We start from the raw sequence: 26,267 nt of genomic DNA on the forward strand, positions 1-26,267 counted from the left end.
TTCTCTTCTGAAGAATATTGAACTGCCAATCTAGTGAATATATAACTCAGAGAAAAAGCAGGGGGAAACACCAAACAGCTTTCACAGAACTTACTGTTGACACAAGATTATTGAAAAGAAACATTCTCCCTGTTCACTGCCCTCTAATCGATACTTCTCCAGAACCAGAACCCAAATTGTTTGTATGCTTTATGTATAAACAAGTCCACACAAAATCTCCAAAGAAACCAACCAGAAAAGTAACAGCATCCTAAAAATCATCATTTGAAGGAAGATCTAGAGTAGACAACCCTTCACATTACAGTCCTTTCAAAATATAACCATAATGAAAAATTTTAGAAAAAAAAAGATTTTAGATTTTAGAAAAAAAAAGTTACTTTTCACTGGACTCATAACTGTCATCATATTCCCAGTGACAAAGGTAATTGAATTTCAGATGTTAGCACCAGTGAGTGGTTTAATTACTTGGCAGACTCACCACATACTCAGTTATAGTCTATAATTTGATCTGGATTTATTTGGAAAGAATATTAGGATGATGATGCTGTTGTTCCAGGCACGGCATGAGGTAAATGGGCTCTGACAAAGAGCATTACAGAAACAAAGATAAATATACAATATACAAGCAACATCTTCCCAATTAGTCTATATGCATTTGCCTGTAACTGTTGTTTTTAATCTTTCTACTCATGCGTAGTCAGTTGGAATATGAGGTTAGAAGCCAAAAAGTACAAATTGTAGTAACTTTCACAGATAAGCAAAAGTGAAAATAAAACTCAAAGTGGTATAAGAAGAAGAAAAACAGTGGCCTTCCAAAGGACATATACAATTTAAACCAGGTCTTGGCAGAACAAATAATCAGAGAAGCATCATCTGTACACATGTTTCCACTTAAATGTTGAGTTTTCTTTTTAGAGAAATATATTCTGTTTTATGACCCTTGCAGAATTTTTGCTCTTCCAATGCGATTGTTAATTTTCTGGTTGTTATCATTTAAAACTAGGCACTTGGAAGGTAAAAGTTTCAAATAAAGATTAAGGCTGTACACAGTAAAACAAACAATAGAGAACAACAAAATATAAGATTGAAAAGCTGAGGAAGACTGCAAAATTAATCTGTTCATCTGATCTAATTCAGGAAAATTTGGAATTATATCTTTAAAGTAATGTTAGCTAAATTTAGAAATACCTGTATTATCCCTCTATACATGTTGTGAGGGAAAAAATGCTTACAAAGAGTTCTGCTTTCAAACTATGAATCCAAATTCTAAAATAGTACTTCAATAGAAAACCATAGAAGAATAAATGCAATGAAAAATAAACTGTCGAATTTTCCCTGTAGAATTTAGCAATAAGAAATACACTTTTATACTCTTGGTGGGTCTGTAAGTTGATACAGCCATTATGGAAAACAGTATGGAAGTTCCTGAAAAAATTAAAAACAGAACTACCATATAATCCAGCAATCCCATTTGTGGATGAATACTCGAAGGAAACAAAATCCGTATTTGGAAGAGACCTGCGCTCCCATATTCATCTCATTATTCACAATTGCCAAGACATGAAAACTCAAGTGTCCATCAACTGATGAATAGACAAAGAAATTACAGTACATATGTATATAGAGTGGACTACTATTCGTCTTATAAAGGAAAGAATCTTGCCATTTGCAATAGGAAAAACAAGATAAATGGATCTTGATGGTATTATGCTAAAGGAACGATCTTGAGGATATTATGCTAAAGGCAATAAGTGAGACAGTGAAAAACAAATACTATATAATCTCGCTGATATGTGGACTCTAAAGAAGTTGAACTCTCAGAAACAAAGAGCAGAGTGGTTGTTGCCAGTGGCTAGGGGTTAGGGGGACTGGGGATGTGTTGGTCAAAGGATACAAATTTTCAGTTACAAGAGAAATGAGTTCTGGGGAGCTAATATTCAACATGGTGACTATAGTTCACAATACTGTATTGTATACTTGAAATTTGCTAAGAGAGTAGATATGAAATGTTCTTACCACAAAAGAAAATAAATCAACAACAAAAAAATGGTAACTAAGTGAGGCGCTAGATATATTAAGTCATTTGATTTTGACAATCATTTCACATTATATCATCATATGGTATGCCCCAAACTTATACAATTTGTCAATTATGCCTCAATAAAGCTGGAAAAGAATGTTTTTAAATAATAATAGGAAATAATAAAAATAGAAATAACAAAACTCTTACTTCAAAAAATAAAGACATATTTATAAAAATACACTTTTAAAATATATTGTTACCAGAGCACATGAGTAATATGTTATAGTAGACACATGGATGAAGAATTCAAAGGACTCTCATTTCACTGACCAGTGATAATATTACCAAGATTATTATAATTATAAGCAGTCCAAATATGTTTTCTAGCTCCAAGAAATAATAGAAATGATTTTTTTCCTGCAGTGCAATAGCTAGCTCATCACTTCCCCCTGTGAAAATTAGAAAAAAAAAGGCACTTTTCTCCCTAGGGACAGACTTAGCCCAATACCAGGGGCATGGTTCTGTAACACTCAGACCTTCAGCCAGCACCCTTACGCAGGGCACACATCTTACAATGTGCCCCTACTCAGGATGAAATCTTTCCATTGCTGTCTTCTGGTAGAATGTAGAGAAGGCTGACAAAGGTCCTCCATCTAATTCATGTATGACTGTAGGAGAAAAACATGTACTTATATATGAATTTCATTTCTTATATTTAAGAAGGTCTACTGCTAATACTACTTGGGACAATTACAAGTATAGTTTCAGGTAAATGGACCAACTACAGTTTATTGTTATTATTATTTGAATTCACAATAAACAGTGAAATAGAATGTTTAGATAATTAATAAGAACTGAGTATACCACTATGGTCTTATGATTTTTTTTCATTCTGCTATACATTTGATGAGGTGCTGAAAAAATTGAGTTATTTAATTTAGAAAAGGAAAATCTACAATAACACATCATCCTCAATATACATTTCTAGCTATCTTTGACAAGTTTCTTCTCCACACATGAGAATATTTTTCATGTATTTCTTTAGTTAAGAAATGAAAACATGGAAATTAGAAATTCTTTTGGCCAGTTTATTTAAAACCCAGTCAAATAAGGGAACCATAAAAAGTAATAGATACATAACGAAAACATTTTTATTTTAACCTAAAACATAATGTATATTAATTCATCATATATAATGCTATATAATATAGTTACATATTATATAATGTGATATAAATATAATTTGTATTTATTTATTTATTAAGTTATAGTCTATTTTTTAGAAATGTGGGAAATATACTTGCTATGTAAACTCTGGGCAGAATCCTTCTAGAAGCTAATTAGGGTTTGCAGTGAGGTATGATTAGTCTTGTTACCAGTGGAAGAGATCTGAATTACATGAGTTATCTGGTGGCAAATCAATTCTTGTCTCCTCGGAAGTAAGAATTCAATTGAGGGCCATAAAGCAGAAAAAGGCACCAAGGCAAGTTCCAGAGCAGGAGTGGAAGTTTATTTAAAAGGCCTTAGAACAGGAAAGAAAGGAAAGTTCACCTGGAAGAGATCCAAGTGGGCCCCTGAAGGTTAAAGAGAGAGAAAGTCAAGTGCCCCATGTCGCTATGGTCCTAGGACTTTTGTAGGCTCGCCTCTTTCCCATGATTCTTCTCTTAGGGTGGGCTGCCCGCATGCTCAGAGCCTCCCCTACCGTTGGGAAATGCGCACATGCAGTGTTTTTAAGGGATTATATGCATGCCCATCTGAGGCTTTCTTCCTTTTTCAGGTGGAGTGTACCTAGGAGATCATACTTCATCATTTTTGTCTCTTAATGTGCATAACCAGGAAGTGTATTCTCCCTGGGGCTGGTCTTTAATTAACACTTTAACGTTAACAAGTGTGGATCATCAAGAAATGGCGTCTCCCTGGCGTCGGGTGCCAATTTATCACTTTTTAAGAGGCAATGCAATAATTATGGAACCATTTCTAGTGTGTGAGAGGAAGCGCCCTCTCCTGACCCACTCATGCCTAACTACCTGTAACAGTCTCACCCAAGTCTAATTTGACAGAAAATTACTTATATCAAGTTTTTTCCAAAACATTCAACCTGCCTTTATAAACATAATTTTTCACATACTTCTTGTAACAAACATATTTGATATAAAAATTTTAGATTTTATAACTAGAATTTGAAATACAACCAACATAATCTATTAAAGGAACACACAGATGACCCCTTTTTAGTCTACCTTTCAGGTAGCGAAGTCTAAGTGGCTACAGAGATGCAAGATAAACACAGACAACCCCAAGAGTAGAAAAAGAGTGGCATATTCCAACTATCTAGCTCTAACAGCAGATTCCTCTAATTAACTTCAACTAGGGAGACTATTTATTTCCAATACACCTACATTTTTCCTGTTTTAATTATTTTCTCTAAGATCAAAGTTTTAAGATTTCTTAAATATCAAATTATTTTGTTGCAGATAATAATAGATCAACTTTCACAGAAAACCTAAAAATGAGGCTAGCCTATCATTTATGCCGAGAAAAGCAGATATATTTCATGCAAATTGAAGAGTTTTTGTTGTCTTGTTCTTGTTCTGTTGTGTTTTTTAAGAGTTACCTGTCATCAGAATAATTATTTTTGGGTACTAACAATTTGGAAAATATCTTAGCTCTAATCGTATTGATCTGTTCCATATCACTATAAAATACATAGCTCTCTCAATCACCTGACTTTTTATAGCAGCCCTTCAGTAGAGATTCATGATTTGTAGGAAACTGTTTCATCTAAATTTTATAATATTTTATTTAAGAAAATCTAGTTAAGTAGGATAGAAAAGAAGTGCTTAAATACAGAGCAAATGTAAAGCATCAGACAAACTCACTGGAATCAGCATTATCTGGTACTTGTAATTCCTCACTTCAATAAAAAAACTTTGTATGACAATATTGTAAATTAATCTCGTAATTATATGCTTATAATACAACATTACATATTTTGGTGAAAGCGCATTTTGAATCTAATTATAAGCAAAAATTTTGTAATTTATTTTATATGTAGACATTACATTTGTATATAGGTAATCATAACCTTAAATTGACTCCTCTGTGCTTTTTATATTTAACTACAATTTTAATATAAGTCAAAAATTATGTGTGTAGTAACTTACTCTATTCATCCTTCAAAAGAGCAGAGTTCTAATGTTCTGTTGGGTGATTCTAGTGAGCATGTGGATTCTTACCACCCAAACTTCCTACATAAAAAGAGAAAAAAAAAAAAAAAAGAGCATGGAAAAGAAAACCTAAGGCACTCAAGCATCTAACTTTATATATGAACAAGCAAAGTCTACTAAGCCTTCTTGAATTCTTGGCCAATTATTGTTCACTTCTTGTAAGAAATAAAAAATATGGTTTTAGTAATTATTTTTTTATTTCAAATATAAGATGTTTTCCTTGACCTTTTAAAATTTTATAAAGTTTTCTTCATTGTTAGTTTAGCGATATTTTGAGAAAATAGAATGGCTTTATTTAACCTTCTAGAGGCTCTTTTCCGAATGAGATCTGTAAAAAACAAAGTCGGAATTATTATTTTGAAAGCCTAATATACAGTTAGTGTAGCAAAAAAATAAATATTAAAGAAATAGGTGCATTACAATAACTTTATTCACACTGAGAAAAATTTATTTTAGCAATAATGATTACCTAATTCTATGCAAATGTGTTTAAACAGTATTTACAACCAAGAAGTCTAAAATTCCCCTTCAACTCTGATGGAAATTCAGTGTCTAGACAACAATTTTTGTTCTTTCTCACATTTGGCAAATGTTTGGCTTTGTAGATTATTAAAAATCCACTTTATCAATTTGAAAAAAAACCAACTGTTTTAGAAAAGATGCTTTTAAATAAGTATAAAGTAAAATTGATTCATCTTTTTTGTTAGATTAATTCAGGAAAATAGGATATTTCCCAAGAATATTAGAGAAAAACACTTGTTACAGTGTTAAAGATTTATCTCTTTATAAATTCAAAACTTACTTTATAAAATTGATTATTTTATATATAGACATATATATTTATATGTTTATAGGGATGTGTATATATGCACATAACAGGCTAACTTAGATTACAATGCATATTTGAGTTGATTTGATTCAACAGACTGAAATACTGAGGATAGATATATAGCGAATATTTAAAATTAACATCTATTACTTGCTGGGTATTCATCTAGAAATCTCTTTCATTTTTCCCATGACACATAAGCACAATTTTAAGACGTACTCTGTCATTCTGAAAGTAAGTTTCTCAAAAACAGTGTGAGCAAATTCAGAGAAAATTAGCCAATAATGCTTTGTATTTGTGTTCTAAATTAAATTCTAATGGTATATACTTATTTTGCCACATATCAAGTACTTGAGACAAGACAATGCCAACCCTCCTCCCAAATTTTACTATATTTTAATAATGGCAATAGAATTTAAAGTTTTGCTTTTTTTTCACACCTCTAAATTTTGTAAAGTGAAATCAGAACACAGGAGATAAATATAAATATAGATATATTAAAATTAGTCCTAATTAATGCTCGTCATTTTGGGATCTCTGTCTCCAAAGGATGAAGAAGAATGCCTTATAAAGTCTATGAATAATTGTGAAGGTTAATTTTATGTGTCAATTTGGCTGGGCCATGGTGCACTTATATGTAGCTAAACATTATTCTGAATGTTTCTGTGAAGGTATTTTTGGATGAGATTAGCATTTAAATTGGTGGACTTTGAGTAAGGCAAACTGCTCTTCATAATGTGGGTGAGCCTCATCCAATCAGTTAAAGGACTGAATACAACAAAAACTGATCTCCCTAGAACAAGAGGAAATTCTGCCAGCAGATCTTTGGACTTGAACTGCAGTATCAGCTCTTCTCTGTGTCTTTAGCCTAATGGCCTTCAGGCTTGAAGTACAGCATCACATTTTCCTGGATTGCCAGTCTGCCAGCCAACTCTGCAGATCTTGGACTTGCCAGGCTTCATAATCACATGAGCCAATTCTCTGAAAATAAATCCCTTTTCATACATACAGTAGTTTCCATTTATGTGTGGGGGATATGTTCCAAAACCCCTAGTGGATACCTGAAACCACGGTATGTTATTTCCTGTCTCTATATATACATATATACCTGAGATAAAGTTTAATTTATAAGTTAGCTACATGACATTTGTGCTGTGAGGCTACTATTGTGTAAAATAAAAGTTACTTGAACACAAGCACTGTGATACCCCAACAGTGGATCTGAGAACTGAGATGACCACTAAGTGACTAATGAGTGGGAAGTAGAAACAGGATGGATGCACTGGACAAAGGGTCGACTCATATCCAGAGCTTGATGGAGCAGATGGCCCAAGATTTCATCATGGTATTCAGAATGGTGTGCAATTTAAAATATATGAATTGTTTATTTCTGAAATTTTTCATTTAATATTTTTGGACTCTGGTTGACCACAGTTAACTGAAACCAGGGAAAGTAAAACGGCAGCTAAGGGGACTATTGTACACATACACATCCTATTTGTTCTGCTTCTCTGGAGTGCCCTTACAAACACACACATCCAAATAGGAGTAACTCTTGTTTTATATGCTCTTTGAAGTTTTATATGCTCTTTGAAAACATCAAATTTTTTTAATCTTTGCATTTCCAAAACTTAACTCATTGCTGAACATAGAATCAAGCCTTAATAAATGTTGAAAAAAATACAGTTATAACTCACTAATAATATTCTTGTGTTAAAGAAAATCATTCTGATCAAAAAGCCATTAATTAGAGCAATTCGGCAATGCTGAATACAGAAGACACTGCTGCTAAGCATGATAGCTTTAGGCCTTGGAGCCATGTAGAATTGAGTTTGAAGTCAGGCTTTACTTTGAGAAATTCACTAAGCCTTCATTTTTCATCTGCATCATGGGTTTTCAATATCTATTCTAGTGGACATTTTATGTTTGCCCAGAATCTTTTAAATATCCTTCCTAGATTTGGGGGTTCTCCACATCCTAAGTTTCATGTTTGTAAGAGAGACAAATATCATTTTCCCAGCCTCCATTGCAGGTGGAATACTGACATGTGACATAGGTTTTTCCCACCGCTGTATGAAACTTTGAATTTGAAGAGAATGACTCAAGAAAAGTGGCTCCCCATAGAATCACTGCGATGAGGATGGCAGGAGGTGTTTATGCTCCAGAGACAGCACTGGCAGAGGTCCAGGATCTAGATACTGGCAGAGTGTGTCAAATCTCTGTACCTGCTATATCCAACTGTGGTGTGATTTTAATTACATCAAAATGTGAATTGTTGGCCTCTCCAAAGATTCTGTGTAATAATTTAATGAATCCTTTTTCCACTTAAACTAGCAAAAATGGGTTATCTTGCCTATGATGGAGATGGTTACTTACATATACCTTACAACTATACTACGAATTAGAATATGTGCAGAGTGCCTAGGAGAATTCCTGTTATAGAGTAGGGTCACAACATTTTAATGCACTGTGTTACTTAAGCTTTCTACAACTGAAGTTTTTCTTCAAAGTTTTTCTTCAATGTTTTTATTCCAGTTTTTGGTAAGCTTCTGCAAGTTATGTGTAAAAATGTGCACAGTGTCAGTAATATTAGATGCTATTAGAAAGTGTATCTACTAAGTAAGTATACAGAGAAGTTCCTTATAAAGTCGGACTGATAACAAAAATGTCTAGAAATTGTTAAAGTTTTAGAAATTAATCAGACTGTACACTGTATTTTTATTTGTTCTCGTCGAAGAATGTATTTTGTGCTTTGAATGAGAAATGCTCCAAGAAACCTTGTATAACTATAGGATGAATACGCCAAGTCACAAAGAGATCTATATCAAATATTTTGAGATACCTTCCCAACCACCTAAGTTTCAGCTTATGCCTTCAGCATAAGGCAAAAATAAAACGAATAAATAAGTCTGTTTCATGCTTGGAGAACAAGAAGAAACAATATTTTCAAAATTAAATCCTGCATTTGATTTACCAAAAGCAAACAACAACAACAAAAACAATGAGTGGTATGTGGAAGGCACTCAGTTATTTTAAGCCACAAGTCAGACTACCTTAGACTTAGAATTAGTAGAGGTTAATTAAAAAAAAAACGATAAGATGGATGGATAAAAGGAAAGATTTTAAAAAGCACTCCACAATCCCTTTCCCACAGGCTTAATTCAGTTTAGGTGAGGAAATTATATGAACCAGTTTGTTCACTGAAAAAAATATTCATTGAGTTTCTCCTCTGTGTCAAACAAAGCAAATAATAGGTTCGCCACTCCACTTGACACTTAGGGATAACAGTCTGCTCTTCCTAAACATCCTCAGAAAAGCTTATGTGTATTCAGATGAAGAGAAGTGAAGCAAAATAACCAGGTGGGGGTAAAAAGGCAGTTTTTGTTTGCATGCCTGCTGCTTTTGTGTCTTTAAGTACTACAAGTACTGTCCTTGAGCAGACAATGCTTTGAAAGATGGGCTGCAAACTTAAATGGGCAGCAACAATACTAGTCTTATTCTGCCTGAATAAATCAAAATTGCATTCCAATCAAATTTCATACTAACAAAATACCCTTTATGCCTACTCTAATGTGTGAGAAAAAGAGAATCAGAAAAAGAATGCTTATTTTCCACAAAACTAATGTCTCCCTCAAACTGAATCCCACTCTTCTGTACCTTTTAAAGAATCGGTGTCATTTAAAAGGGACAAGTGTGTAAGGAATAAGAAGCCTATACACTTTACTAAGCATCTTCAATGCTTTCAGGAAGAGTCTGCATTACCTTGGTGGTGTAGAGATATTTTGTGTCTTAGAACAGTGCCTGGCGTTCAGAATGGGTCAATACATGTCTAAACAACATAAATACAACAGTTTTTAGTTTTAGCAATCTAGCATACTTTCATCATTCTAACTCAAAATTTCCAAGGATATTTGCTAAGAAACAACATTTATATATTACATATACACATATTGAATCCTTATCAACATCACTAATTAAAACCACCAAAAGTAACTTGATAAGAAACCCTTCTATAAATATAACGGCCACATTTTAGGAGGCTGTGGCAGAGGATCACTTGAGGCTAGGAATTAAAGGCCGACCTGGGCAACATAACAAGACCTCGTCTCTACTAAAAAATGTTTAAAAAAAAAAAAAAAAGTAGCCAGATATGGTAGTGCATGTCTGTCATCTCAGCTACCTGGGAGGCTGAGGTGGGTGGATTGTTTAAGCCCAGGAGTTTGAGGCTGCAGTGGGCTGTAAGTGCACTACTGCACCACAGCCTGGGTGACAGAATGAGACCTTGTCTCAAGAAAAAAAAAGTGGCCAATTCTACAATTTGAGTGTCAAATAAAAATCATAATTTAAAAATTAAAATTTCAAAATATTAAATACATGTTTAAAACAAAAAAAAAATCACAGATAGCATCTGCTTACAAAATAACTGAAAATGTGGCCATTAAAATTCCTCCTTTGGAAGGTAACTCTACTATGCACAAATTAAGGGGCAGACTCCCAAACTCACAGTAATTCCCAGAGTGACAATTCACACACCCCTATCATTTTGAAGAACCAATTTTCTTCTCCATCAACACTCCTCAAATTAGGTCTAAAGGGATGTGCGGCATGACACTTTTTCCCTAGTACACACTAGATTGGCTTACAAGTGGATTCATGATCCACCAGGGTAAGTAGTAATACATCACATCCCAGGTCTCTATGACTGCTCCGTGACAATGATTGACAAACTTTCCTGAGACTGAAAAATCAGCTGTTAAATATACAGCTTTCTAGGTCCTTTTTCTGGAGATTCACACCCATTGAGTCTGAGATGGGGCCTAGCAATTCTTTTTTTCAAACAGGTACCCCAAGTGAGTTTTCTGATCAGGAAATTTTGAAATGTCATACTCAAAAGCAGTGGTTCTCAAACTTTGCTGGGGGAATTTAAAATTCCAAATGTCCAGGCTGGAATCTATAGGAGTAGGAAGCATACATCAGTATTATTTTTTTTATATTCTGAGGATCACCAGCACCAGCCACATTTGAGAGCTTGTTAGAAATGCAAAATCTCAGATTCTACCCTCACCTATCTAAGCTTCCCAAGCAGAATGTGTATTTTAAAAAGCTCCAAGGTGATTATATGCACATTAAAGTTTGAGAAGCACTGTTAGGAATGAAATTCTGATCCAAGTCTGGCAATAGCTTTTTTTCTCTTTTTTTTTTCACACGTAGTCTTGCTCTGTTGCCCAGGCTGGAGTGCAGAGGTGCGATCTCGGCTCACTGCAAGCTCCACTTCCCAGGTTCAAGTGATTGTCCTGCCTCGGCCTCCTGAGTAGCCGGGATTTACAGGAACCCACCGCCACGCCCGACAAATTTTTGTATTTTTAGCAGAGAGGGGGCTTCACCATGTTTGCCAGGCTGGTCTCGAACTCCTGACCTCATGATCCTCCCACCCCGGCCTCTCAAAGTGCTGGGATTACAGGCATGAGCCACTGCACCAGGCCAATAGTTTTTCTACACTGAGCTGGGAAAAACTTTTCTGGTGGTGAAGGTGGAAGGATATGAGGCCAGCAGCAGTCACTTCTAGCATTCCCATGATTTCCTCATATGAGTTGATGAGAAAAATATCTTTTTCTTGCAAACAAAAAAGTACTATTTCAGTAAACTTCTTTTAAAACCATCTTCATTCAATTCAAAAAATTAATGTGTCATAGTGAATGGCTGAGGCCCCTTCTAAGATTTAAGCTTTAAAAGTCCGTAGTTGTTTAAAATTTAATTAACTTATTTGCATTTACATTCTCTCTCTTGTAATTTCCTGTCATTTCAAAATGCTCATGTAACTGTGTGGTCTTTTCGTACATTATTGAGGTTCTTAAAGTGTACATTTTCTTAAAGTGTACTTCTCTGTGCATCACCCTATTTACCAGCCCAATAGGAGACAGCAACAATAATTGTGAGAGCACGCTTTTGTTCGGTGGCATAAATGGATATATAATTATACGAAAATACCAAATATTTTTAAAATTTCAGAGAAAATTAGAGACCCTAATTGTTGCAAGAGCAAAAATATGGATGATGAAGAAATGTAAGTGGGTTGGTCTATTACTGTAACCTAAAACTGAATAACATTGGTAAGCAATTTTCAAATGATTTAATTCAAGTAGAAAATTATTTGAAGGAGAACGGTGGTACAATTCTTTGGTGAGCAACTTCTGTGGGCCAGAGTTACCTTAGGACCTGGAAGAAGTTATGACAAAGTAGTCAGCAAGCCACCTAGGGTCTCAACCAGAGACTTGAACTTTGCCCAGAAACCTCACTAAAGATTGGAAAACACGTCTACCTGAGCGAATGAAAAAAAAGAAAACTTCTACATCCAATTGAAGAGTGGGAGAGTGAAGCAGTGTAGCTTCCACATGTTTTCCTGGTCTAAAAGTCCCTGATGGCCGGGGTTCTGGAGGCAGCTGTGAGAACCTTCTACCTGTGTGCCTCAGTGACGTTAACAAAGCCCCAGCCAATGGTTCTTGTGCCAGCCCACCCCTCACATCCCTGAGAGGGCTCATCAGTTTCACATTAACAATTTATAACAATATTTCCCCTTCTCCAAGAAAGGACTTGCTGTTTCATCTTCCAAAAATATCCATACATTGTGTCTCTGGGACCCAAGACTTTTATGAAATAGGATGCATCACATATCGTCTTTAAAAGGCATTTTTCTCCAGACACATAAAGAGTTTTTGCTTGTTTGTTTGCTTTGTTTTGTTTTCCACACAGAGACAAAAAGAATGAAGATCAGATCATCCAACTGAACACAAGTGGTTCTGCTTACAGATGAAACCCCAGTAGCCAGTGTCAAGCTTGGCAAACAAGAGGATCTCATTGTGTGCTATTTTGCTTTATTTATTTATTCTTTCCTTTCTTTTTCAGATTATTGCTTATCTTTAAATAACTTTGTATCAACATATAATGTTGACAGTTGCTTAATTTAAATCAGTAAAATCAACACCATAAGAAATTTGAGTCTTCTACACCACATTCTTTTAAATCACAGATTCCCCTAAATAATTGTTGATATGCTTTTAATATTAATAACATTTAAATTTTCAGGAATTGGTTTCAAAGAACATCTTTATTTCTGCCTTCATTTCGTTATGTACCCAGTAGTCATTCACGAGCAGATTGTTCAGTTTCCATATAGTTGAGTGGTTTTGAGTGAGTTTCTTAATCCTGAGTTTTAGATTGATTGCACTGTGCTCTGAGAGACAGTTTGTTATAATTTCTGTTCTTTTACATTTGCTGAGGAGTGCTTTACTTCCAACTATGTGGTCAATTTTGGAGTAAGTGTGATGGGGTACTGAGAAGAATGTATATTCTGTTGATTTGGAGTAGAGAGTTCTGTAGATGTCTATTAGGTCTGCTTGGTGCAGAGCTCAGTTTAATTCGTGGATATCCTTTTTAACTTTCTGTCTCATTGATCTGTCTCATGCTGACAGTGGGGTGTTAAAGTCTCCCATTATTATTGTGTGGGAGTCTAAGTCTCTTTGCAGGTCTCTAAGGACTTGCTTTATGAATCTGGCTGCTCCTGCATTGGGTGCATATATATTTAGCATAGTTAGCTCTTCTTGTTGAATTGATCCCTTTACCGTTATGTAATGGCCTTCTTTGTCTCTTTTGATCTTTGTTGGTTTAAAATCTATTTTATCAGAGACTAGGATTGCAACCCCTGCCTTTTTTTGTTTTCCATTTGCTTGGTAGATCTTCCTCCATCCCTTTATTTTCAGAACAAAGACACAACATACCAGAATCTCCAGGACACATTTAAAGCAGTGTATAGAGGGAAATTTATAGCACTAAATGCCCACAAGAGAAAGCAGGAAAGATCTAAAATTGATGCCCTAACATCACAATTAAAAGAACTAGAGAAGCAAGAGCAAAAACATTCAAAAGCTAGCAGAAGACAAGAAATAACTAAAATCAGAGCAGAAGTGAAGGAAATAGAGACACAAATACCTTCCAAAAAATCAATGAATCCAGGAGCTGGTTTTTTGAAAAGATCAACAAAATTGATAGACCACTAGCAAGACTAATAAAGAAGATAAGAGAGAAGAATCAAATAGATGCAAGAAAAAATGATAAAGGGGATATCACCACCAATCCCACAGAAATACAAACTATTATCAGAGAATACTATAAACACCTCTACGCAAATAAACTAGAAAATCTAGAAGAAATAGATAAGTTCCTGGACACATACACCCTCCCAAGACTAAACCAGGAAGAAGTTGAATCCCTGAATAGACCAATAACAGGCTCTGAAATTGAGGCAATAATTAATAGCCTACCAACCAAAAAATGTCCAGGACCAGATGATTCACAGCCGAATTCTACCAGAGGTACAAGCAGGAGCTGGTACCATTCCTTCTGAAACTATTCCAATCAATAGAAGAAGAGGGAATCCTCCCTATCTCATTTTACAAGGCCAACATCATCCTGATACCAAAGCCTGGCAGAGACATAACAAAAAAAAGAGAATTTTAGACCAATATCCCTGATGAACATCGATGCAAAAATCCTCGATAAAATACTGGCAAACCGAATCCAGCAGCACATCAAAAAGCTTATCCACCATGATCAAGTGGGCTTCATCCCTGGGATGCAAGGCTCGTTCAACATATGCAAATCAATAAATGTAATCCAGCATATGAACAGAATTAAAGACAAAAACCACATGATTATCTCAGTAGATGCAAAAAGGTCTTTGACAAAATTCAACAGCCCTTCATGCTAAAAACTCTCAATAAATTAGGTATTGATGGGATGTATCTCAAAATAATAAGAGCTCTCTATGACAAACCCACAGCCAACATCATATTGAATGGGCAAAAACTGGAAGCATTCCCTTTGAAAACGGGCTCAAGACAGGGATGCCCTCTCTCACCACTCCTATTCAACATAGTGTTGGAAGTTCTGGCAAGGACAATCAGGCAGGAGAAGGAAATAAAGGGTACTCAATTAGGAAAAGAGGAATTCAAATTGTCCCTGTTTGCAGATGTATATCTAGAAAACCCCAACGTCTCAGCCCAAAATCTCAAGCTGATAAGCAACTTCAGCAAAGTCTCAGGATACAAAATCAATGTGCAAAAATCACAAGCATTCTTATACACCAATAACAGACAAACAGAGAGCCAAATCAGGGGTGAACTCCCATTCTCAATTGCTTCAAAGAGAATAAAATACCTAGGAATCCAACTTACAAGGGATGTGAGGGACCTCTTCAAGGAGAACTACAAACCACTGCTCAATGAAATAAAAGAGGATACAAACAAATGGAAGAACCTTCCATGATCATGGATAGGATGAATCAATATCATGAAAATGGTCATACTGCCCAAGGTAATTTATAAATTCAATGCCATCCCCATCAAGCTACCAATTACTTTCTTCACAGAATTGGAAAAAACTACTTTAAAGTTCATATGGAAACAAAAAGAGCCCACATTGCCAAGACAATCCTAAGCCAAAAGAACAAAGCTGGAGGCATCATGCTACCTGACTTCAAACTATACTACAAGGCTACAGTAACCAAAACAGCATGATACTGGTACCAAAACAGAGATACAGGCCAAGGGAACAGAAGAGAGCCCTCAGAAATAATACAACACATCTACAACCATCTGATCTTTAACAAACCTGACAAAAACAAGAAATGGGGAAAGGATCCCCTATTTAATAAATGGTGCTGGGAAAACTGGCTAGCCATACGTAGAAAGCCAAAACTGGATCTCTTCCTTACACCTTATAGAAAAATTAATTCAAGATGGGTTAAACATTTAAATGTTAGACCTAGAACCATAAAAACCCTAGAAGAAAACCTAGGCAATACCATTCAGGACATAAGCATGGGCAAGGACTTCATGTCTAAAACACAAAAAGCAATGGCAACAAAAGCCAAAGTTGACAAATGGGATCTAATTAAACTAAAGAGCTTCTGCACAGCAAAAGAAACTACCACCAGAGTGAACAGGCAACCTACAGAATGGGATAAATTTTTTGCAATCTACTTATCTGACAAAGGGCTAACATCCAGAATCTACAAAGAACTCAAACAACTTTACAAGAAAAAAACAAACCCCATCAACAAGTGGGCAAAGGATATGAACAGACACTTCTCAAAAGAAGACGTTTATGCAGCCAACAGACACATGAAAAAATGCTCAACACTGGCCATCAGAGAAACGCAAATCAAAACCGCAGTGAGATACCATCTCACACCAGTTAGAATTGTGATCATTAAAAAGTCAGGAAACAAAAGGTACTGGAGAGGATGTGGAGAAATAGGAACACTTTTACACTGTTGATTTCACTGTAAACTAGTTCAACCATTGTGGAAGACAGATGGCAATTCCTCAAGGATCTAGAACTAGAAACGCCATTTGACCCAGCCGTCCCATTACTGGGTATATACCCAAAGGATTATAAATCATGCTGCTATAAAGACACATGCACATGTATGTTTATTGCACCACTATTCACAATAGCAAAGACTTGGAACCAACCCAAATGTCCATTAATGATAGACTGGATTAAGAAAATGTGGCACATATACACCATGGAATACTATGCAGCCAGAAAAAAGGATGAGTTCATGTCGTTTGTAGGGTCATGGATGAAGCTGGAAACCATCATTCTCAGCAAACTGTTGCAAGGACAAAATACCCAAACACCGCACGTTCTCACTCATAGGTGGGAATTGAACAATGAGAACACTTGGACACAGGAAGGGGAACATCATACGCCAGGGCCTGTCATGGGGTGGGGGAATGGGGGAGAGATAGCATTAGGAGATATACCTAATGTGAATGACGAGTTAATGGGTGCAGCACACCAACCTGGCACATGTATACATATGTAACTAACCTGCACGTTGTGCACACGTACGCTAGAACTTAAAGAAAAATTTAAAAAAATAAAATTTCAGGAATTGCACCCTTCAGTGAAGAAATGTATCAACATTTTACCATATTTTAAAAGTATCATCCCTTGTTTCTCATTTCTGTATCTGGGAGAAAATAGATGCATTGCCTTATCACCTTATCTTACAAAAAAGGGAGGCACTTTGATGTCTCTCCTGATATCCATCATAGCTCTCCCAAAAGATGAGAACAATAAAGGCCAAATGACATATTTTGCACAATCCAAAGCCTCAATTCATTCTACACGCCTTGGTTTAGAATCCAAATCGCTAATTTCAATTAAGATTGTCCACAGACAATCTTAATCAAACCATTACTCACTTCCCAGGAAAAACCCAGAACAGTTATAAAATAGAACATTATTTTTTCTACTACCCCAAAAAATAGTTAAATCTGTGAAATTCCCAGCTTTTTAAATGTATGACCTTATTATCGCAGGAACAGTGAGTAGAATTAACAGTCTTGATTAACTTCTGATGTTTATTTTTGCTTCTCTTTCATGCAACTGAACATTATACAAAATTTTATTTAAGGATTTAGATAATTGTGTTTATTTAATATTTCTGTGTTATTGGCATATTGTTTTCTACCCCTTGGGGTAGAAACTGGTCCTGCTTCCTTGAATCTGAAAAGCCCCTGTAGGTGAAAACATAATAATTATTAACAAGACATGATGGCTACATAACAAGCAAGTACCTGCCTCTATCTTACTGTTAACTGTAAGAATCAATTCAGTAAGAAACTGGAAAACATACACTATGTTCTGAGGATATTATTTACCACCCATCAAATGTAATTATTCTCTTAAATATGTTTCTGGGATTTTAAAATTGCTAGAAGTTTTTTTCCAATACCTTGAAAGCTTTTCAGTCTTCATATTTAGGCAAAATAATATTTTAAACATACTTTCTAATAATAACAAGGAAAAGCATAATTATAACTTCAGGTAAATATCTCCTTTGTTCACAGTGCTCAACACATTGTCATATTTATAGGGAGCTCGAAATATTTTGTTGATTACTTAACCTTTGAATAGCAGATGTTAGGAAGGAGAAAGAAACAAAAACAAAAGCAATAACTACTGGCACTGAAGTATTATGACATGCCTCAATGCATTCAAAGATGTAGGCTTTGAGAGTTGCCATCTTGGACAGGCTACCCAGGAATATCATAGGTAAATTGCATATTTAGTATCATACAATATCAGATATGGGATTGAACTTAGAAATCATATAGTTTAGATTTATTATATAGATAAAGAAACTGGAATCTAGCAAAGTGAGTGGATGCATAGCCCACAGAGTTGTATTCATGACAGAGGGCAGGGTAGACTCAAGCACTCCTGACTCCCACTCAGTGTATGAGTGTTCTCCTTTGAAGACCACTGTATTGGAAATCCCCAAGATCCTCTTAAGTTCAATGATTTGCTGAAAGAACCTACAGAGCTCATGTAAGCTATTGTAATCACAATTGCAGTTTATTACAGAAAAAATAATACACATGAAAATCTGCAAAGGAATAGGTGAACAGTAGAGTTCAGGAGAGACCAGGCATAAGCTTCCTGTTGTTCTCTCCTCACAGAGTCATACAGACAGACAGTGCTAAATTCTCCCAGCAAACATGCACAGAGTATTGCCAACAAGGGAAGCTCAGCTGAGCTGCAGTGTCCAGGGATATTTTGCAGGATCTGTCCCATAGGCATAGAGCACCAGTGTGACTGACCTGATTAATTCCATTGCCAGCCCCTCCAGAAGTCAAACTCATGCAATGTGACTCAAAGTCCCCACCAAAAATCATATTGTTAACACAAATTCTTTAGGCTGGCTCAGGGCCACAGGTAAAACAAAGCAAAACAACAAAAAACAAACAAACAAACAAAACACCCTTCAAGCAGGGAATTCAAAGGATTTAGAGATTATCTTCCAGAAGCAGATAAAGGACTAGTTCTTTCTTTGGAGTGTGCAGGGTTTTAACAACCAAAACCCACGGAGTTAACCTTTTACTGAACCGTGAGCACCCAAAACCTGCTGATTTAACTCTTTTCTACTTATCAATGTTAAAGGCTGCATTCTTAAGTCCCCAAAATCTATTGGTTTTGATGATATGCTTTAGGAGACCTTTAATTTTTGTAAGATTATCATCCAACAAACTATTTTTTTATTATTATTATACTTTAAGTTTTAGGGTACATGTGCACAACATGCAGGTTTGTTGCATATGTATACATGTGCCATGTTGGTGTGCTGCACCCATTAACTCGTCATTTAGCATTAGGTATATCTCCTAATGCTATCCCTCCCCCCTCCCCCCACCCCACAACAGTCCCCAGAGTGTGATGTTCCCCTTCCTGTGTCCATGTGTTCTCATTGTTCAATTCCCACCTATGAGTGAGAACGTGCGGTGTTTGGTTTTTTGTCCTTGCAACAGTTTGCTGAGAATGATGGTTTCCAGCTTCATCCATGACCCTACAAAGGACATGAACTCATCCTTTTTTATGGCTGCATAGTATTCCATGGTGTATATGTGCCACATTTTCTTAATCCAGTCTATCATTAATGGACATTTGGGTTGGTTCCAAGTCTTTGTTATTGTGAATAGTGGTGCAATAAACATACATGTGCATGTGTCTTTATAGCAGCATGATTTATAATCCTTTGGGTATATACCTAGCAATGGGATGGCTGGGTCAAATGGTATTTCTAGTTCTAGATCCCTGAGGAATCGCCACACTGACTTCCACAAGCGTTGAACTAGTTTACAGTCCCACCAACAGTGTAAAAGTGTTCCTATTTCTCCACATCCTCTCCAGCACCTGCTGTTTCCTGACTTTTTCATGATCACCATTCTAACTGGTGTGAGATGGTATCTCATTGTGGTTTTGATTTGCGTTTCTTTGATGGCCAGTGATGATGAGCATTTTTTCATGTGTCTGTTGGCCGCATAAATGTCTTCTTTTGAGAAGTGTCTGTTCACATCCTTCACCCACTTGTTGATGGGGTTGTTTGTTTTTTTCTTGTAAATTTGTTTGAGTTCATTGCAGATTCTGGATATTAGCCCTTTGTCAGATGAGTAGGTTGCAAAAATTTTCTCCCATTCTGTAGGCTGCCTCTTCACTCTGATGGTGGTTTCTTTTGCTGTGCAGAAGCTCTTTAGTTTAATTAGATCCCATTTGTCAATTTCGGCTTTTGTTGCCATTGCTTTTGGTGTTTTAGACATGAAGTCCTTGCCCATGCCTATGTCCTGAATGGTATTGCCAACAAACTATTTAAATAAAAAGGATTCGATGAAACTACAGGAAGAGGTAGCTTTCACTGCTAGAGAGGTGTGATCCTTACAGGCCTGAATGAAGACAAATTGCTTGGGCTTTCTTTGTTGTCCAGTATATCCTGAAATTGATTTAGAAAAGACAGAAGTTTCGAAATAGAACTCAGGAGGATCATCAGCTCCAGTTTTTAATACTGTAAAAGAGTAGAAGTAGGATCTCTGGAAACACACCTAGAAGAATGTGCTTGCTTCAAAATGTAATTTACAAAGTTATATGTTCTAATCTTCACTTCTTAGAATATTACTAGGGACATAATAGTACATTTAACAACCCAGTTCTCCAGGGGTGGTAAAACTCTGATTTGAAGCATTTGCTGATTTCTGTGGTGTAAATATTCCCACCACGGCCAATGTCAAGCTATAAATGTAAGGTCACTGATTGTGAAAGGGGAGAGAAATGTACGTAATGGGCTCTTGAAAATCCATATGAACCTGCTCCACTACAACACTGGATATTACCAAGTAAGTTAGGCCTAACTGTTTCTAAGGTTTCAATGTTTAACTATCTGTTATAGACTATATATTTCCTATAGCAAATGTATCCTCAACCATCATTACTGTTCATAACTGTATTTTTGGCTTTTAATCTCACTTGCACAATAAAATTTGCTTTGGCTCAATATATTACAATTGATATTCCTGTAAACTGTAATATTTTCTTCATGTGTGTTATATTTTTAACAGACAGGTAGATAAAACATTTTTAATGAGATCCAAGTTTAAATTTGACCTTTGGGATTTGGGTTATCTAGGAGTGGTCAATATCATCATGTCTAAAAGTACTTAGAATAAATGTCTCATGTATTATTAAGTTTGCTGCCAAAGAAATAAAAGGATGGGAGCGACAGAAGTGCAATAGTGGAGCGGTATATTCAGAAAACATTTTACATTATCAAATTACTTAGTTAAATGGAGGTAGTCATTGAGAAAATTCTTGTATCTAGCATAGAAATTTAACTGCCTAGGAAAGAATAAAACCCAGAAAACCATAAAAATGAAGAGCAATTTGGGACCAAGGCCAGGACTCAGATTCTCTTTCTGTTTGCTGATGTCCCTAATTAGTTTTTCAATTCCTTAATAGGATAGGATTGGTGGTTAAACAATGGCTTCAAATAATTGCAAACATTATAATCAGTTATGCATGCACCAAGCAGGTCAATACATTAATAACTACTATAAATTTTATACTATTATTTTTGTTCCTCATTCATTTGTTCCAATTTTCTAGTAAAATAATTCCATGCAGGTGTTGCTAATTTAGAATAACCTAAAGTGAAAATAGCAAATGTTGCTTGGGTGCCAATCAAAAGACTCTCAAATACACTATTGGTACTTAATAGCTTGAAAGCTATTAACATGTCTGCAGTTAAGAAGATAGTGGCCCAGCAGCCGCCCCATCTGGGAGATGGGGGGCGCCCCTGCCTGGCAGCCACCCCATCTGGGAGGTGGGGGGGCGCCCCCACCCGGCAGCCACCCCGTCTGGGAGGTGTACCCAACAGCTCATTGAGAAGGGGCCATGATGACGATGGCGGTTTTGTCAAATAGAAAAGGGGGAAATGTGGGGAAAAAAAAGAGAAATCAGATTGTTACTGTGTCTCTGTAGAAAGAAGTAGACATAGAAGACTCCATTTTGTTCTGTACTAAGAAAAATTCTTCTGCCTTGGGATGCTGTTAATCTATAACCTTACCCCCAACCCTGTGCTCTCTGAAACATGTGCTGTGTCAACTCAGGGTTAAATGGATTAAAGGCGGTGCAAGATGTGCTTTGTTAAACAGATGCTTGAAAGCAGCATGCTCCTTAAGAGTCATCACCACTCCCTAATCTCAAGTACCCAGGGACACAAACACTGCGGAAGGCCTCAGGGTCCTCTGCCTAGGAAAACCAGAGACCTTTGTTCACATGTTTATCTGCTGACCTTCCCTCCACTATTGTCCTATGACCCTGCCAAATCCCCCTCTCCGAGAAAAACCCAAGAATGATCAATAAATACTAAAAAAATTTAAAAAAAGATAAAAAAACATAATGTCATTAGTTTATGACCAATTAACATGAAAACTAAATTTAAAAATAAACACATTAGTGGAATTTAAAATTTTATTATTTGTTTATTTTTTAGAGACCCAGGTCTTCCTATGTTGCCCAGGCTGATCTCAAACTCCTGGGCTCAGGCGATTCTCCTGCTTCAGCCTCCTGAAGTGCTGGGATTACAGATGTGAGCTACCACGCCTGGCCACATTTGTGTTTTTATCTGCATCATTCCAATTAATCACCAAAAATAGTTTTGCCCATTCTACTTTAATGACTACATAACAAAATTGAGAAACTGTGTTTATGCTTGAAAAGTTCATGCTCCTAACTAGGTTAAACATTTCCTAAAACAATATTATTTATATTATTAACACAACTCTTTTTTAAAAAATAGTATAAATGTAAATTATTATAAGCTTGGATGATAGCTGTTTGAATTAATGAAGCTTAACTAAATGTGTATGTATGTGTGTGCACTGGAGTGGTGGTGGGAATGGACCAAAAGAATCCCTGAGAGAAGAGTACAATTGTTTTAAAATACATTTAGGTAAAGACTATTTATGATTCTTGAGGAAAGAGAGCCTATATAAAAACTTTTTATTATCTTTAACTTTTAATTGTCTCTTTTGAAAATTCAAAGACATTAAATACCTGTTCGTAAAATTTTTCAACAAACTAGGTTTACAATTTTACATTCCCACCACCAACCTTGTCTTGAAAGTGTTCATTTTGTTAGTCTCTACGGAACCTAGGATATGGAACCTAGGATAGTTATCTTATACATGGCAGGCATTTCAATAATGTCACTTGAATACAATTCCAATAATTTTATCACATTTTCAACATTGATACACAATATACGAGGTCAAAAATTCTAATAACACACTTATACTAGAATTTCACATTTCCCTAATTCAGATTTTTAGGAACTTCCTAGACTTATATAATATACAAAGCTATGGACAGAATGTCTAAAAAACCATGAAGCCTGCCTCCAATAAGAGATCCACATTTCTTTAAAAAGAAATTTAAAAGACTCAGGCACCTATATAAGTAGATCTGACTGTCAATATATACAGGTTTACCCACAGAGAAAATAAAATTCCCGTATGTTGTAACACTTGGAAAAAAAAAAAAGAAGATAGTGGCTAAATGAGACTGAAACTTAATACTTTATATTACATGTAATTAATTTAAATTTCATTCATGTTATGCTTAGTAAAATATTCTGAAATCATTCTGTGTTGTTTTAAAGTCCAAATAAAGAGTGACAAACCACAAATGCACAAATCATGGTGGATCTTCCTAAGATTAATTACTCAAGGGCAGCAACTGTCCCAATAAGCTACAGACTCCTCATACCCCACCTGCTGTAAAGAGGGGAAAAAGGGAACTTCATTTTAATTTTTCTAATAAAACACCTTAGAAATACAAATATAAATCATTATTGATATCTATCTATTCCATTCAATGTAACTTCTTTCATAATTAAGAAAAAATTAAAACATATAGTACATCTATAGTTCATAGTTTTTCCACATACAAGAAGAGAGCTATGCTATCACTCTATTTTGTGTGATTGCTATACAAAGAAACCACATCAATTATTTCCTGATAAAAAACTTTTCTAAGCAGTAGGTAATAAAGTTCATAGAATAGTACTTCTGTTTGTTTTTTGTTTTCTCCTAAAAGTTTTATCCAGATATTAGACTCTATCACAATCCATATTTATCATTTCTATTTCAATGTGTAAAATAAAATAGGAAGCATTTACATGTCAAATAAATATTACTTCCTAAAAGCAAGAATTTAATAAACCTTGTCAATACTGGTTTTAATTCTCAAACTAAGAAACCAGAGTAGGTCATGTGATACACTGTAATTTTAATATACCATATATATTGAGATCATTAAGTTAATACTAAATTACTTGCTTGAATAAAGAACGATCTAATTCTGATAACAAAGAAAGTAGTCCAGAAGTAAGAAAATATATGCTATGGTTTGCATGTATCCTCCAAAGTTCATGTGTTGAAAACTTAATTCTGAATGCAACAGGGCATTGAGTTGTGTTTTTTTTTTGAAAGTGGTGATGAGGTCACAGGGGCTCTGCCTCATGAATGGATTAATGCTGTTATTGCAGTGGGTTAATTACTGTGGTAGTGGATTTCTGATAAAAGGATATGTTTGATCTCTTGTTCTCTATCTTGCACATGTTCTCTTGCCCACATGACACCTTTGCCACATTATGATGCAGGCAAGAAGGCCCTCAAAAGATGTGGCCTCTCAGTCTTGGACTTCCCAGACTCCAGAACTGTGAGCCAAATAAATACATTTCTGTTTATTATACATTACCTAATCTGTAGTATTTTGTTATAGCACCATAAAATGAACTAAGACAGTATATAATTTATTCTAATGGAAATATGTTTCCATTATATAGAAATATTTCCTCAATCAAAATTGAATTAGAGCACTTGAGTTAGGTATTTAGTGCAAAATAGTTCTGATGGGAGAAGTACATGTCACTCAAACCTTTAAATGTTACCTTCATTTGAAAAAGGTAAATAATATTCCTTTATACCATATATTTGTATTTAAACAACTACATTAATAAAAATATAAAAAAACAAGTAATAATTAACTTTAAGTGAATTACGTTCAATGTATCTCACATTTTCCTTAAGGAGTATTATGGCTGGAATCATCTTGAAAATAGTAGTTGCTTCAAAGCCAATACAATATTTTACCAACTGCAAAACTTGAATAAAGTGACATTCTCAATCATCTCCTTATTTCACACATAACAGAAATGATGGCAAGTACTCTTAGGGAAAGTTTTCTATATGCTGGGAAATATGTATAAACTGATATCTCAGCTATCCTTCTCCGATTAGATAGTGGACTCCATAAGAACAGGTATTTGACACTCTCTTTTTTGCTGGGGTATCTCTAACACCTAGAAGACTGTCTTGTGGGCCAGGCGTGGTGGCTCACTCCTGTAATCCCAGCACTTTGGGAGGATGAGGAGGGTGGATCACGAGGTCAGGAGTTCAAGACCAGCCTGGCCAAGATGGTGAAACCCTGTCTCTACTAAAAATACAAAAATTAGCCAGGCGCAGTGGCAGGTGCCTGTAATCCCAGGTACTCAGGAGGCTGAGGCAGGAGAATCACTTGAACTCGAGGGGCAGAGGTTGCAGTGAGCCGAGATTGTGCCACTGCACTCCAACCTGGGTGACAGAGTGAGACTCTGTCTCAAGAAAAAAGATAAAAGAAAAGTGTCTTGTATTCACAAGCAGCTCAATAAATATTCCAGATAAGCAAATGAACAAATCCATACAACAGAATTACCAAAGAGGGTACTACCAGTGTTATTCTTACTTTACAGATAAGGAAACAGAAGTAAAGCAACTTGTCTCTAATCACACTACCAGTGAGTGTGAAAGTTGGAATTCATGGCCAGGCACCATGGCTCAAACTGCAATCTCAGCGCTTTGGGAAGCCAAGACAGGAGGATTGCTTGAGGCCAGGTGTTCAAGACCAGCCTGGGCAATGAAGCAAGACCCCATATCATCTACAAAAAAAAAAAAAAGAAAGAAAGAAAAGAAAAGAAGGAAGGAAGAAAGAAGAAAAGAGATGAAAGGAAGGAGAAAAGAAAAGAAAAGAGAAGACAAGAGAAAAGAGAAAGAAAAGAAAAGAAAATTGGAATTCATAATTAGGGCCCTTGGTCAGGTGTGGTGGCTCATGCCTGTAATCCCAGCACTTTGGGAGGCCAAGGCAGGCGGATCACCTGAGGTCAGGAGTTCAAGATCAGCCTGGCAAATGTGGTGAAACCCCTTCTCTATCAAAAATACAAAAATTAGCCAGGCGTGGTAGCGGGCACTTG

The 26,267-nt window shown here is 35.8% G+C and overlaps 1 long non-coding RNA gene across 1 annotated transcript in view, besides 1 other annotated feature; it reads right to left on the reverse strand.

The window, feature by feature from the left end:
- LOC105378178 (uncharacterized) overlaps window positions 1-26,267 on the reverse strand; it is an 894,025-nt gene that overhangs the window by 182,867 nt on the left and 684,891 nt on the right. The window lies entirely within an intron of this gene.
- Window positions 21,847-22,403: an enhancer, noted in NCBI's record as "OCT4-NANOG-H3K4me1 hESC enhancer chr14:49067915-49068471 (GRCh37/hg19 assembly coordinates)". NCBI's record gives its function as "activates a minimal SCP1, AML or CMV promoter by ChIP-STARR-seq in primed H9 embryonic stem cells {active_cell/tissue: H9 hESC(primed)}" and the evidence as "EXISTENCE:reporter gene assay evidence [ECO:0000049][PMID:30033119]".

Source organism: Homo sapiens, chromosome 14 (genome assembly GCF_000001405.40).
Source record: "Homo sapiens chromosome 14, GRCh38.p14 Primary Assembly".
NCBI classification, from domain to species: domain Eukaryota; kingdom Metazoa; phylum Chordata; class Mammalia; order Primates; family Hominidae; genus Homo; species Homo sapiens.